Raw genomic sequence first — 13292 nt, 5'->3', positions numbered from 1 at the left:
AGTGCAAGTATGGCCTAACACAACATATGATGTTGAGTATTTTTCAAATACTTACTTGCCATCTGTATATCTTATTTGGTGAGGTATCTGTTCAATTTTTTAATCAGGTTGTTTTCTTTTTCTTTTTTCTTTTTTTTTTTTTTTTTTGAGACAGGGTCTCACTCTGTCTCCCAGGCTGGAGTGCGGTGGTGTGGTCATGGCTCACAGAAGCCTTGAATTACCAAGCTCAAGTGATCCTCCCACCTCAGCCTCCTGAGTAGCTGAGAGTACAAGTGTGCATTAGCATGCTTGGCTAATTTTTGTATTTTTTTTGTAGACACAAGGTCTCTACCAAAAAAAAAAAACAAAATACACACACACACACACACACATTGAGTCTTCCTATCTGTGAATGTGAAATATCTCTCCATTTTATTTAGTTCTTCTTTGATGTCTTTCATCAGAGTTTTGTGGTTTTTCTCATATAGATCCTGTATATACAGTCATAATGACATTTCAGACAATGATGGACTGCATATAAAATGGTGGTCCTATAAGGTTATAATAGAGATGGAAAATTCCTGTGGCCTAGTGACATTGTGTACCTGTTGTAATATCATAGTGCAATGTATTACCCGTGACGGTGGTATTGCAGGTGCTAATAATCCTACCACAGTGCCAATTGTATAAAGTATAGCACATATAATTATGTACAGAATGTAATACTTGATAAAGATAATAATTGACTATGTTAATGGTTTATATATATACTACATTATACTTTTAATTGTTATTTTAGAGTGTACTCCTATTTATTAAAAAAAAAAGTTAACTGCAAAACCATCTCAGGCAGGCCCTTTAGGAGATATTCCAGAATAAGGCACTGTTATCATAGGATATGATAGCTCCATGTGTGTTATTGTCCCTGAAGACCTTCTGTTGAGACAAGATGTGGAGATGGGTGACAGTGATATTATGATCCTGACCTCTGTAGGCCTAGGCTAATGTGTGTGTTTGTGTCTTAGTTTTTAACATAAATGTTTAAAGAGTAAAAAAAAAAAATTTAATAGAAAAAGCTTATAAAGAAAGAAAATATTTTTGTACAGCTTGGTAAATGTGTTTGTGTTTTAAGCTAAGTGTTACTGTGAAAGAAGCAATTATATTTTTAAATTTCATTTTTTGTTGTTTTTGAGATAGACCTCACTCAGTCACCTAGTCTGGAGTGCAGTGGCACTATCTTGGCTCACTGCAGCCTTGAACTCCTGGGCTCAGGAGATCTTCTTGCTTCAGCCTCCTGAGTATCTGGGACTACTAGCATATTACCGTGCCTGGCTAATTTTTAAAATTATTTGTAGAGTTGAGGTCTCACTATGTTGCCCAGGCTGGTCTCTAACTCCTGGGCTTACATGATCCCCCTACCTTGGCTTCCCAAAGTACTGGGATTATAGGTGTGAACAACTGTACCTGGCTGAGGCCCCATTTTAAAAAATCACACTTAACACAAATTTATGTTTTCTTTCAAAGGATACCCCTTCTTTCTTTTTTAAACTAGCTGTTGTTTACTGATAAATGGAAAGCTTAAAAAATGGATTATGGAGGCAGGGGTATTTGGTTTTGCCCTGTACCTGCCTTAGGGAAGTTTGACTTTGTATATTTGCCAAGCCTGCTGATAGCTTTACCCTGGGCAGAACCTGACAGTCAAATAATTACTCTTTGATTGTACTGATTACCTACTGTTTGTATGCATTTTATAGTTCATTGTTTTCTAATTCTATCTTCGGTTACTTTCTTTTGCCTACTTTCTTGGTCCTATTTTTTTGTTCTTTCTCTAGGATCTGGAATGTTATTCTTATCTCAGTTTTTCCTAATATTTCATATTTTCTAATATATGCATTTAAGCTTTAATGTTTCCTCTTTTTTATTTTTATTTAAAATTTTTTTAGAGACGACAGGGTCTCTTTCTGTTGCCCAGGCTGGAGTGCAGTAGTACGATCATAGCTCCCTGGTGCTTCCAGCTCCTTGGCTCAAGGGATCCTCCTGCCTCAGCCTCCTGAGTAGCTAGGCCTACAGATGTGCAACAATATACCCAGCTAATTTTTTTGACTTTTTTGTAGAGATGGAGTCTCACTATGTTGCCCATGCTGGTTCAAACTCCTGGCCTCAAGTGATCCGCCTACCTTGGATATCTTGAGCTATCCTGGGCAGAATAGTGAGACCCTGTCTAAAAAAAAAAAAAAGGAAGTTTTTTTTCTTCTATGCTTTGAAACAGCTTAAGTGGTATTAAAATGATTTATTTCTTAAATATTTGGTAGAATTCCACTGTGAAATTCTGTGCCAAGTACTTGGAAAACTTTTCCTATTCTTCTAGGATAATTGGTCTACTTAAGTTTTTGTTTCTCCTGAGGACAATTTTTGTAAATTATATTTTACTAGAAAATTATAATTTCTTACAACTTTTCTAATATACTTGCAAAGAGCTGAGTAAAATTTGACCTTTAAAATTTTTTTTGTTATATACTTTTCAGATTAGTTGCAACTCTTAGAGTGTAGATCATAAGTCCTGCTATTAATTGTGTTTACTGGTACTTCTTCATGGTTTATTTATTTCTTGGAGACAGGGTCTTGCTCTGTCACCTAGTTTGCAGTGTGGTGATGTGATCATGGCTTAGTGTGGCCTTGACTTCCTGGGCTCAGGTGACCTTCCTGCCTCAGCCTCCCAAGTATCTGGGATCACAGGTGCATGCTGCCATGCCCACTGATTTTTTTTTTTTTTTTTTTTTTGGTAGAGACAGGGTCTCATTATGTTGCCCAGGCTGGTCTTGAATTCCTGGCCTCAAGTGATCCTCCCACCTCAGCCTCCCAAAGTGTTGGGATTACAAGTGTGAGCCACTGCACCTGGTCGTGGCTTTTTGTTTCTACTTTGAGTTTTAATTTTTTATTGAAAGCCCATCTTCAAGGGTAGATGTTTTTGTAATTGTCCAACTGGTTCTTCTTACCCATTTCCCAGAAAAGCCAATAAATTGAGAACAGCAGGAGTTGCAGCAGAGAAATAATTTAATAATCACAGAGCAAGCCAAGCAATGAGAATGAGAGCTATTTCTCAAGTCTATCTCCCCAAGAATTTAGAGGCTAGGGTTTTTCGAGGATAGTTTGGCAGGCAGGGGGCTAGGGATTGGGGAGTGCTGATTGGTTGGGTCAAGGTTGAGATCATAGTGGGTTGAAACTGCCTTCTTTCACTGAGTTAGTTACTAGATGGTGGTGGTTGGGGGTGTCACAAGACCAGTCAAGCTGGTTTCTCGTTATAGGTTGCCAATCCAGGTGGTGCCATCTGATGCATCAGAATGCAAGGTCCGAAAAATACTCAAACACCAGTCTTAGGTTTTGCAATAGTGATGTTATCTGTAGGAGCAATTGGGGAAGTTACAAATCTTGTGACCTCTGGCTGCATGACCCCTGAACCATAATTCTAACTGTGTGGCCAGTCTGTTAGTTTTATAAAGGCAGTTTCATCCCCAAGCAAGCAGGGGGTTAGTTTCCTGAAGGGACTGTTATCATCTTTGTTTTAAAGTTAAACCATGAGCTAAATTCCTCCCATAGTTAGCTTGGCTTATGCCCGGATATGGACAGGGACAGTTTAGCTTATGTGGTTAGAAGCAAGATGGAGTCAGCGATGTTAGATTTCTCTTACTGTTACAATTTTGCAAAAGCGGTTTCATTTTCCCTGGGAGTTATTTTATTCTAGGTTGTGGATATGTTCCAATATGGTGAACTAACTTTTGCCTCTGCTGGGGTCAAATAGATTCTGGATGTGAACCTAAATGCTTTATTTTTATTTATTGGCTCAGTCTTTCTGTACAGTGTGTGTGGTTCAAATCTGAATCCTAAACCTGAATCTCATAGTTGGCTGTTATTCCTCATTTGAGGCAATAGGGATAGCATTATCCCACTATGAATGCCTATTACAAAATAGAAGAAAGCTAGTTAAATGTATTTTGTGGTATTTTAGAAAGTAATTGTTTAATTTTATGGTGAAAACATTATCAATGGGAAAGGGGGGAATAGGTCTGTTTATTTTTGGTTGCATATAATATAGTCTGATACAGTATTTGGTAAACTACAGCCCTTGGACCAAAGTTTTAGAAATAAAGTTTTATTGGAACACATCTGTACTCATCGAGTACTTTGTAACAGAGACCATATGGCCCTCAAAGCCTTTTTTTTTTTTTTTTAATAGAGTCTCATTTTGTCACACAGGCTGGAGTGCAGTAGCATGATCATAACTCACTGTAACTTTGAACTCCTGAGCTCAAGGGATCCTCCCATCTTAGCTTCACAAGTAGATAGGACTGCAGGCATGTGCCACCACACCCGGCTAATTTTTAAATTTTTTTGTAGAGATAGTGTATCGCTATGTTGCCTAGGCTGGTGTCAAACTCCTGCCTCAAGCAATCCTCCCACCTTGGCCTCTCAAAGCATTGAGATTACGGGCATGAGCCACTGTACCTGGCCTTCAAAGCCTAAGATATTTACTGTTTTACCCTTTACAGAAAAAATTGCCGACTCCTGATCTAATAGCTGTAGTGCACCGGTAGGTGATGTTTAGTTTTATCTTTGATTACAAAGTACAGATGATTATCGAGCTTTAAAGGTCAGGTTAAATAAAAAGTATATCAGTGGTGATAAAAGGAAATATTTGACTTCTAGTGCAGGTAACTTAAGGACTTTTAGTTGTCCTAGATAGCAAAATAAAGATTGGTTGATGGATTACTTTACAATTAGAGTGTGGATTTATGTAGTTTATTTGTATGCCTTTTTTTTTTTTTTTTTTTTTTTTTTTGCGATGGATCTCGCTCTGCCACCCAGGCTGGAGTACAGTGGCGTGATCTTAACTCACTGCAAACTCCACCTTCCGGGTTCAAGCGATTATCCTGCCTCAGCCTCTCGAGTAGCTGGGACCACAGGCATGCACCACATGTTCGGCTAATTTTTTTTTTGTATTTTTTAGTAGAGATGGGGTTTTGCCATGTTGGCCAGGCTGGTCTCAAACTCTTGACCTCAAGCGATCCTCCTGCCTTGGTCTCCCAAAGTGTTGGGATTACAGGCATGAACCACCATGCCCGGCCAGTTTATTTGTCTTCCTTTAAAATAATTTAGTTTTGGAATTTAGGATCATCTGGTCATCCTTAAAAATAGACCTTAGTTGGCCGGGCACAGTGGTTCACGCCAGGTCTCAAGTGATCCCCCCACCTTGGCCACACAAAGTGCTGAGATTACAGAAAATCTCCTCTTTTAAGTGTGTTTAGCTTCTTAGAAATAATGAAAGTAGGCCGGATATGTTGGCTTACTCCTGTAATCCCAGAACTTTGCCAAGAAAGGCAGATCACCTGCGCTCAGGAGTTCAAGACCAGCCTGGCCAACATACTGAAACCCCGTCATTACTAAAAATACTAAAATTAGCCAGGTGCGATGGCACATGCCTGTAGTCCCAGCTACTTGGGAGGCTGAGGCAGGAGAATTGCTTGAACCCAGGAGGTGGAGGTTGCAGTAAGCCGAGATCACGCCACTGCACTCCAGCCTGGGTGATAGAGAGAGACTGTCTCAAAAAGAAAAAAGAAAATTGGAACGATTTGGATGTTAGTGAAATTTATTTAGGGAAGAACTGAAGTATGTGGAAGTGGAAGTGGCACATGTGTGTGCAGTTGTGAAAATAAAAGCAAATGGAATAATTGTGCCAGCTTCTACCCTCTAGTAAGTGGAAAAGCTTTTCAGCTGCAGCGTAGCAGTGGCCGACAACCTGTTTAATGTTTCAAATTAAGAGTGCTTCTGTTGAGGATGTCAAAAAGAAAAAAGAGTGGTTCTGTTGGGATACAGTAAAAGGCTCTTGCTTTCTTTTTATAATAGTCCTAGTTTTGTTTGGGAGTATAATTGGAAACTTCCTAGAAAGTCTCCTTCCTTGAAATCTTGTAAGAAAATGATTGTTCTAGTCTCATGAGATAATTCAAGTACACGTCATTACCCATGATGTAAGTCTGTTGGTATGTATTGTGAAAACTATAAAACCTGGAATCCCATCCCACAGCAAAGTATCAATGTAAATTTAAAAAAAAAAAAGCTTTAGTGAGAAATAATTCACATACCATAAAAGTCTCTCTTTAAAAATGAACAATTTTGGCCAGGCGAGGTGGCTCACGCCTATAATCCTAGCACTTTGGGAGGCTGAGGTGGGTGGATCACCTGAGGTTGGGAGTTTGAGACCAGCCTGACCAACATGGAGAAACCTCATCTCTACTAAAAATACAGAATTAGCCAGGCATGGTGGTGCATGCGTGTAATCCCAGCTACTCGGGAGGGTGGGGCAGGAGAATCATTTGAACCTGGGAGGTGGAGGTTGCGGTGAGCCGAGATAGCACCATTGCAATCCAGCTTGGGCAACAAGAGCAGAACCTTGTCTCAAAAACAAAACAAAACAAAACAAAAACAATTTTGCTGGGCACAGTGGCTTATGCCTGTAATCCCAGCACAGCACTTTGGGAGGCCAGTGCAGGTGGATCACTTGAGGTCACGAGTTCGAGAGCAGCGTGGCCAACATGGTGAAACCCCGTCTCTACTAAAAATACAAAAATTAGCTGGGCGTGGTGGCACGTACCTGTAATCTCACTACTCGGAGGCTGAGGCAGGAGAATCACTTGAACCTGAGAGGCGGAGGCTGCAATGAGCTGAGATCGCACCACTGTACTCCAGCCTGGGCAACAGAGTGAGACTCTGTCTCAAAAAAAAAAAAAAAAAAAGAATAATTTTGGCTGGGTGCAGTGGTTCATGCTTGTAATCTCAGCACTTTGGGACGCTGAGGCAGAAGGATTGCTTGAGGCCAGGAGTTCAAGACCAGCCTAGGCAACATAGCAAGAGTCTGTCTCTATTAAAAAACAACAGGCTGGGTGCGGTGGCTCACGCCTGTAATCTCAGCACACTGGGAGGACGAGGCAGGCGGATCACCTGAGGTCAGGAGTTCGAGACCAGTCTGACCAACATGGCGAATGGCAAAACCCCATCTCTATTAAAAATACAAAATTAGCTGGGCGTGATGGTAGGCACCTGTAATCCCAGCTACTCAGGATGCTGAGGCAGGAGAATTGCTTGAACCCGGGAGGCAGAGGTTGCAGTGAGCCAAGATCATGCCATTGCACTCCAGCCTGGGCGATGTAGCGAGACTCTGTCTCAAAAAACAAACAAACAAAAAAACAAAATTACAACAACAAAGCAATATTACCACAAATGTAGTGATTTAAAAGAGCATATATTTATTATATCTTTTTCTGTAGTTTAAGAGTCCAAGTCTGACTCAACTGGATTACTGGATTGCCTTCTTCAAGGTCTCTGAAAGCTACAGTGAAGGTGTCAGTCAGAGCTGCTCTCTTATGTGAAGTTCAGCTGGGGAAGGATCTGCTACTAACTTTATGTGGTTGTTGGAAGCATTCAGTTCCTTGCAGGTCACTGAACTGAGGGCCTCAAGTTCTTGCTGAAGGCTGCCTTCAGTTCCTTGCCATTGTGGCCTTTTCTCTATGACAGCACACAGTGTGGCTGCCTGATTCATTAAAGTCAGCAAACGAGAGTGTCAGGATCTCACTCTGTCACCTGCAGTGGTACAAATATATATATATTTTGTTTGTTTGTTTGTTTGTTTTTTTTTTTTGAGACCGAGTCTTGCTCTGTCACCCAGGCTGGAGTACAGTAGTGCGATCTTGGCTCACTGCAGCCTCTGCCTCCCCGGTTTAAGTGATTCTTCTGCCTCAGCCTCCTGGGTAGCTGGGAATACAAGCACACACCACCATGCCCAGCTAATTTTTTTATATTTTTAGTAGAGGCGGGGTTTTGCCATGTTGGCCAGGCTGGTCTTGAACTCCTGGCCTCAAGTGATCCACCTGCCTTGACCTCCCAAAGTGCTGGGATTACGGGCATGAGCCACCGCGCCCAGCCCCTGGCCCCACTATTTTTTAGGTGTGATTTTATTTTTGATGATTATGTGAAATGAGATGCCTTGTTTTCTTACCATTATCATAGTTTTCATAGCATGATTGATCATTCCCTCCTTTGTCCGTTCTGTATGTTTTATACAGGCTTTTATTGGAGCAATGATACCTTTTTTTGGGGGGGCCTTGGCAAAGTGTGGTGGCTCACACCTTAATCCCAGCACTTTGGGAGGCAGAGGCGGACAGATCACATGAGGCCAAGAGTCTGAGATCAGCCTGGTCAACTTGGTGAATCCCCGTCTCTACAAAAAGTACAAAAGTTAGCCAGGTGTACTGGTGCATGTCTGTAATTCCAGCTACTCCGGAGGTTGAGGAATGGGAATCGCTTGAGGCAGAGATTGCAGTGAGCCAAGATCATGCCACTGCACTCCAGCCCAGGTGACCTAGCGATACTCTGTCTCAAAAAAAAAAAAAGTGGCAGTGGGGGGGCGCTTGCTTTGTTGCCCAGGCTGGAGTGCAGTGGCACAACTTTAGCTCACTGTAACCTGGAACTGCTGGGCTCAAGTGATCCTCCTGCCTCAGCCTCTTGAATGGCTAGGACTACAGGCATGTACCACCAGCATGCCTGGCTAATTTTTAAATTTTTTTGAGAGATGGGGTCTTGCTATGCTGCCCAGCCTTGTCTTGAACTCCCGGGCTCAAGCAATTCTCCTGTCTCAGCTTCCTGCGTAGCTGGGACTACAGGTGTTTGCTACCATGCCTAGCTGGGTTTGAGTCTTGGCTGTACCACTTACAAACTTTCTGACCTTGACTTCTGTGCCTCCGTTTCCTCATCTGCAAAATGAGGATTGTAATAATATCTACCTTTAGAGTTGTTGAGAAAATATAATGAACTATTATGCGTAAAGCATTAGAATAATGTTATAAATAATTCACCCTATTTAAGGGCTAGTTATTATTTCTGTTATATAGGTAGCTGATATCTATGGAGCTATTTCTTTGAGCTAGGTACTGTATTAAGAACATGTATATATTTTATTGCATAGTATCTATAACAATCTTGTAAGTAGTTACACTTTCATTTCATAAATGAGAAAACTGAGCTTCAAAGATGTAGAAACTAAAAGAGCTAGTATCTGCCATCTGCTTGATACTGAAAAATTGATTCATTCGCATTCATGGTTATACATTTATTATTTAGTGCATATGCAGTTTGTCATGCAAACTGTAAATTTCTTGCAGTGTTGTAACAGTTGTGGTTTAAGGAAAGTAAGAGGAACATTTTAGTAAGTGAATGTTATGTTATTTTGGGATATTTTATTTTTGTGCTTGAATAGGTAAAGGTTTTTATATTTTCTGTTTGGGAGCTTTGTCTGAAAACTTAGATACTGGATCTCAAAATGCTGGTGCTTCTACGGTGGCCTCAGTGTCACAACTGTACTAAAAACTGACTAATTTTTTAACTTTCCAAACAGTAACTTATGAAATTGTCTAGAGAGTGAATCTTTTCTCTTTTAAATGTTGATTATTGTTGTAGTCTGAATCTAAAATACTTAAGGTTTTTCCTCAGATTATCAGTATCTTATTTCATGGTTGTGTTTATTTCTCTGTATGCCTTTCTGAGATCTCACTGTAAAAGTTTTCATCAAACCAAATACTGCATATTCTCACTTATAAGTGGGGGCTAAATGGTGAGAACACATGGACACATAGAGGGGAAGAACACACAATGGGGCCTATCATAGAGTGGAGGGAGAGGATCAGGGAAAATAACTAATGGGTACTAGGCTTAATACCTAGGTGATGAAATAATCTGAACAACAAACCCTCATGATACAAGTTTACCTATGTAACAAATCTGCATGTGTACTCCTGAACTTAAAACTTTTATTAAAAGTTAAAAACTTAAAAAAGTGTCTTCATCAGTGGTATGTGATATTATTTTAACAGAGTCTTACTCTGTCGCTGAGGCTGGAGTACAGTGGCACCGTGTCAGCTCACTGCAACCTCCATCTCCTGGGTTCAAGCAATTCTGCTGTCTCAGCCTCCCAAGTAGCTGGGATTACAGGTGCCTACCACCATGCCTGGCTAGTTTTTATATTTTTAGTAGAGATGGGGTTTCACCATGTTGGCCAGGTTGGTCTCGAACTCCTGACCTCAGGTGATCCACCTGCCTCAGCCTCCCAAAGTGCTGGGATTACAGGCGTGAGCCACCGTGCCCAGCCAGTGCTTCTATGTTTTAATAACTACTCTATCAGAAAAGAGTTTAGCTCTATAGTCATGGAATTATATGAAGTAACTTTTGTTAAGATGGCTAAGAACTGGGCAGTAAGGATGATGTGAGATAGTAGATGTTCTACTTAAAGGTAAAAGTTAGGAGAAAGCCTATTAGGTATTTCTGACATACCAGTTTTCAGAGTCATTGGGTGACTGAGATGTCAGTATATACCAATACTGTTTGGGGAACAAAAATTAAATGCTCCCAAAAAGACTACTTGGAAGTATTCAGAACCATCCCCAAACCCCAACATCTATGAGCAACACTTATGTGTGTCTGTAACCAAGAAGCTTTGCTTGTCTGTCTCATATCAAACCAGCCATTTCAGAATTTAACTGTTCCAGGTAGTCAGAGTTAAGGTAACCTTCAAAATCTAGAAAAAGTATTTTATAAAATTCAACATCCCTTTATGATAAAAACTCTCAACAAACTAGTCATAGACAGAACATACCTCAACATAATAAAGGCCATATATGACAAACCCACACCTAATAGCATACTGATAGGGAAAAGCTGTGAAAGCCTTTTCTCTGAAAACTGGAACAAGGATGCTCACTTTCACCACTCCTATTCAGCATAGTACTGGAAGTCCTAGCTGCAACAGTGAGGTAAGAGAAAGAAAGAAAAGGCATCCAAATTGGAAAAGAGGAAGTCAAATTGTTCCTCTTTGGAGATAAAATGATCTTATATCTAGAAAAACCTAAAGATTCCACCAAAATCTTTTAGATCTGATAAATTCAGTAAAGTTACAGGATTCAAAAATCAATGCACAAAAATCAGCATTTCTATACACCACTAATTAGCTGAAAAAAATCTAGAAGGCAATCCCAATTACAGTACAGCTACAAAAATTATAATAAAATACCTATGAATAAATGTAACCAAGAAAGTGAAAGACCCTACAAGAAGAACTGCAAAACGCTAATGAAAGAAATTGAAGAGGACACAAAAAAATAGAAAGATATCTTATGCTCATGGATTGGAAGAATTAATATTGTTAAAACGACCATGCTACCCAAAAACAATCTACAGATTCAGTGAAATCCCTATCAAGATACCAATGTTGGGTCAGGCGCAGCGGCTCACTCCTGTAATCCCAGCACTTTGGGAGGCCAAGGTGGGTGGATTGAGGCCAGGAGTTGAAGACCAGCCTTGCCAACAATGGTGAAACCCTATCTCTACTAAAAATACAAATATTAGCCAGGCATGATGGCACATGCCTGTAGTTCCAAGTACTTGGGAAGCTGAGGCGGGAGGATCGCTTGAGCCTGGGAGGCAGAGGTTGCAGTGAGCCGAGATTGTGCCACTGCACTCCAGCCTGGGTGACAGAGTGAGACTCTGTCTAAAAAAAAAAAAAAAAAGATACTAATGTTGGCTGGGCACAGTGGCTCATGCCTGTAATCCCAGCACTTTGGGAGGCCAAGGCAGGAGGATCACCTGAGGTCAGGAGTTCGAGACCAGCCTGCCCAACATGGAGAAAACCTGTCTCTACTAAAAATACAAAATTAGCTGTGTGTGGTGGCACATGCCTGTAATCCCAGCTACTCGGGAGGGGAGGTAGGAGAATCGCTTGAACCCGGAAGGTGGAGGTTGCGGTGAGCCAAGATCGGGCCATTGCACTCCAGCCTGGGCAACAAGAGTGAAACTCCGTCTCAAAAAAAAAAAAAAAAAAAAAAAAAAAAGGCCAGGCACGGTGGCTCATGATCCCAGCACTTTGGGAGGCCGAAGTAGGCGGATCTTCTGAGGTCAGGAGTTTGCGACCAGCCTGGCCAACATGGTGAAACCCCATCTCTACTAAAAATACAAAAATTATCCAGGTGTGGTGGTGTGTGCCTGTAATCCCAGCTACTCAGGAGGCTGAGGCAGGAGAATCGCTTGAGCCTGGGAGGTGGAGGTTGCAGTGAACCGAGATCACGCCACTGCACTCCAGCCTGGGTGACAGAGTGAGTCTCCATCTCAAAAAAAAAAAAAAAAAAAAAGAAGATACCAATGTCATTTTTCACAGAAATAGAAAAAGCAGTCCTAAAATTTTGTATGGAAACAAAAAAGAGACCAAATAGCCAAAGCAGTCCTGAGCAAAAAGAACAAAGCTGGAGGCATCATACTACCTGACTTCAATATATATTACAAGGCTATACTGAGCACAACAGCATGATATTTGTATAAATCAGACACATAGACCAATGGAACAGAATAAATCCACGTGTTTACAGCCAACTGATTTTCAACAAAGGTACCAAGAACGTACACTGGGGACAAGACACTTTCTTGAATAAATGGTGCTGAGAACATGGTATATTATATATGCAGAAGAATGAAACTGGATCTCCATCTCTTACTATATACAAAAGTCAAATCCAGTCACACCAGTACACTCCAGCCTGGGCAAAAGAGTGAGACTCTGTCTCAAATAATAAAATAAAATAAAATAAAGATAATTTAAAGACTTAAATGTAAAACCCCAAACTACAAAACTACTAGAAGAAAACATAGGGGTTTCAGCATGTTATTCTGGGTCTTAAAAAAAAAAAAAAAAAGAATACTGAGCAACATAGTGAGACCTTGTCTCTACAAAAAAAAAAAAAAAAAAAAAAAAAATTAGACCACAGTGGCTTACACCTATAATCCCAGTACTTTGGGAGGCTAAGGCAGGAGGATCACATGAGCCCAGGAGTTCGAGATGAGTCTGGGTAATATAGTGAGACCCTGTCTTTAGAAAAAAAAAAAAAAATGGCTGGGTGCAGTAGCCCATGCCTGTAATCCCAGCACTTTGGGAGGCCAAGCCAGGCAGATTGCCTGAGCTCAAGAGCTTGAAACTAGCCTGGCCAACGTGGTGAAACCCTGTCTCTGCAAACAATACAAAAAAATTAGCTGGGTGTGGTGGCGTGTGCCTGTAGTCCCAACTACCTGGGAGACTGAGGTGAGAGGATTGGTTGAGCCTAGGAAGTTGAGGCTGCAGTGAGCTGTGATCACACCACTGCACTCCAGCCTGGGTAACAGAGTGATACCCTGACTCAAAAAAATAAAAAATTAGCCAGCCATGGTGGTGCACACCTGTAGTCCCAGCT

The 13292-nt window shown here is 40.9% G+C and overlaps 1 protein-coding gene across 2 annotated transcripts in view, besides 1 other annotated feature; it reads left to right on the top strand.

Moving 5' to 3' along the window:
- The window catches only part of TESK2 (testis associated actin remodelling kinase 2), a 147281-nt gene that overhangs the window by 42779 nt on the left and 91210 nt on the right, over positions 1-13292 (top strand). The window lies entirely within an intron of this gene.
- Positions 4720-4949: a silencer, noted in NCBI's record as "fragment chr1:45909108-45909337 (GRCh37/hg19 assembly coordinates)". NCBI's record gives its function as "represses an EF-1alpha promoter that drives an FKBP-Casp9 reporter gene in an ReSE screen in K562 erythroleukemia cells {active_cell/tissue: K562}" and the evidence as "EXISTENCE:reporter gene assay evidence [ECO:0000049][PMID:32094911]".

Source organism: Homo sapiens, chromosome 1, assembly GCF_000001405.40.
Source record: "Homo sapiens chromosome 1, GRCh38.p14 Primary Assembly".
NCBI lineage: Eukaryota > Metazoa > Chordata > Mammalia > Primates > Hominidae > Homo > Homo sapiens.
Note: the sequence above shows the minus strand (reverse complement) of the source record. Positions and strands in the feature narration are given on the sequence as shown.